Below are 2,398 nucleotides of genomic sequence, written 5' to 3' on the forward strand. Positions count from 1 at the left end.
TATGTCTTCTTTCATGAAATTTCTAGTCAAATCTTTTGCCCATTTTTTTTATCAGATTATTAGAGTATTTAATATAGAGTTGTTTGAGCTCCTCATATATTCTGGTTCGTAATCTGTTGTCAAATGGGTAGTGTACAAATATTTTCTCACATTCTATGGGTTGTCTCTTTACTTTCTTGATTGTATCACTTACGTGCAGAAGCTTTCTAACTTGTTGTGATGCCATTTGTCTATTTTTCCTTTGGCTATCTGTGCTTATAGAGTATTACTGAAGAAATTTTTGCCCTAAACAATGTCCTGGAAAATTTTCCTGGTAGTTTTCTTTTCTTTTTTCTTTGTTTCAAGTTGTAATCAAAGCTTGTATATAAGATTACTTTATTCCTGCATCTTCTCAATTGTTTCTTCCTTGTATTTGCCCTTTTGCTTTCCTACTTGGCAAGATTTGGCTTTCCGTTCACGGATATTTTTGCGGTCTTTGTCCACTTTTAGCCTAGTGATAACCACCTTGCTGGGGTGAATGCCTACGTGGACAGTTGTGCCATTAGCCTTTTCCCACTGCACCCGTTCAATGTATGTAGCATATTTCTTCCTGTAAACCTTGACTACTTTGCCAATTTGTTGACCTTTATAGTGTCCTCGTACAACCTGAACTTCATCATCCTTTTGGATGGGCATGGATCACCCGTTATACTTCTGTTTCAGCTCATTGGAAAGAGGGGAAGACATAATCTTCCCGTGAATGTAGGAAGGTGCATTGAAATGCCTTTTGCGACTCTTCCTTCAGTTGGAAGTCACAAAGGGATTAAACTTCATTTTGGCCGCTCCCTCTTCAGTGATGGATGCAAAAGGGAAGAGAACTACACACTCCTGATAGTTTTCTTGTAGCAGTTATGTAGTTTGAGATCATAGATTTAAGTCTTTAATTCATTTTGGTTTGATTTTGTATATGGTGTGTATTATTCCATTCTCATACTGCTATGAAGAACTACCTGGGACTGGGTAATTTATAAAGGGAAGAGGTTTAATTGACTCAGTTCCGCATGGCCAGGGAGGCCTCAGGAAACTTACAATCATGGTAGAAGGCAAAGGAGAAGCAGGCACCTTCTTTACAGGGTGGCAGGATGGAGTGAGTACAAGCAAGGGAAATGCCAGATGCTTATAAAACCATCAGACATGGTGAAACTCTCTATGATGAGAACAGCATGGGGGATAATGCCTCCATGATCTGATTACCTCCACCTGATCCTGCCCTTCACACTTGGTGATTACACAGATTATGGGGATTAAATTTAAGGTGAGATTTTGGGTGAGGACATAACCAAACCACATCATTGTGAGAGATAGTTAACCAGTTTTATTATTCTGTATAAGGATATCTAGTTTTCCCAGCATCATTTATTGAAGGACTGTCTTTCCCTCAGCATATGTTCTTGGTATCACTGTCAAAAATGGTTTTACTGTAGGTGTGTGGATTTGTGTCTGTTTCATTGGTTTAAGTGTCTGGTCTGAGTTCCAGCACCATACTATTTTAGTTACTATAGTTCTGTATTATAATTTGACATCAGATAATGTGATTATTCCATTTTTGTTCATTTTCTTCAGCATACCTTTGGCTATCCTGGGTCTTTTGTGGCTTCATATACATTTTAGAATTAGTTTTTGCTAGTTCTGTGAAAAATGAATTTGTATTTTGATACAGGCTCTATTGCATCTGCAGATAGCTTTGGTAGTGCGTACATTTTAACAATATTGATTCTTCCAATCCATGAACATGGAATAATTTTCCATTTTATGGTGTCCTCCTTAATTTTTTATCAGTGTTTTATAGTTTTTGATATAGGAATCTTTCACTTCTTTGGTTAATTTCTAGGTATTTATGTGTGGCTGTTGTAAATGGGATTTCTTGTTTTGTTATTTTTTTTCACATTGTTAACTACTGGCATATAGAAATGTTATTCATTTTTTCTACATTGATTTTGTATCCTGTAACTTTACTGAATTTGTTTATCACTTCTAATAATAGTTTCCTTGTGGAGTCTTTAGATTTTTCCAAATACAAGATCATATAATCTGCAAATAAGGGCATTTTGACCCTTTCCTTTCAATTTGAATGCCCTTTATATCTTTCTCTTGTCTGATTGCTCTAGCTGGGACTTTCAGTACTATCTTAAATAACAATGGTGGCAGTGTACGTCCCTGTTGTGCTCCAGATCTTAGAGAAAACCCTTTCAGTTTTTACGCGTTCAGTTTTTACGCATTCAGTATTATATTAGCCATGGCACTGTCATAATGGATTTTATTATGCTGAGGTATATTCCTTAAATTTCCACCATTTGAAGGTTTTTATTATGAAGATATGTTGAATTTTATCAAATGCTTTTTCCACATCAATTGAAAT

At 35.9% G+C, this 2,398-nt stretch overlaps 1 pseudogene; it reads right to left on the reverse strand.

The window, feature by feature from the left end:
• Positions 333–855, reverse strand: RPL26P37 (ribosomal protein L26 pseudogene 37; annotated as a pseudogene).

Source organism: Homo sapiens, chromosome Y, assembly GCF_000001405.40.
Source record: "Homo sapiens chromosome Y, GRCh38.p14 Primary Assembly".
Taxonomy (NCBI): domain Eukaryota; kingdom Metazoa; phylum Chordata; class Mammalia; order Primates; family Hominidae; genus Homo; species Homo sapiens.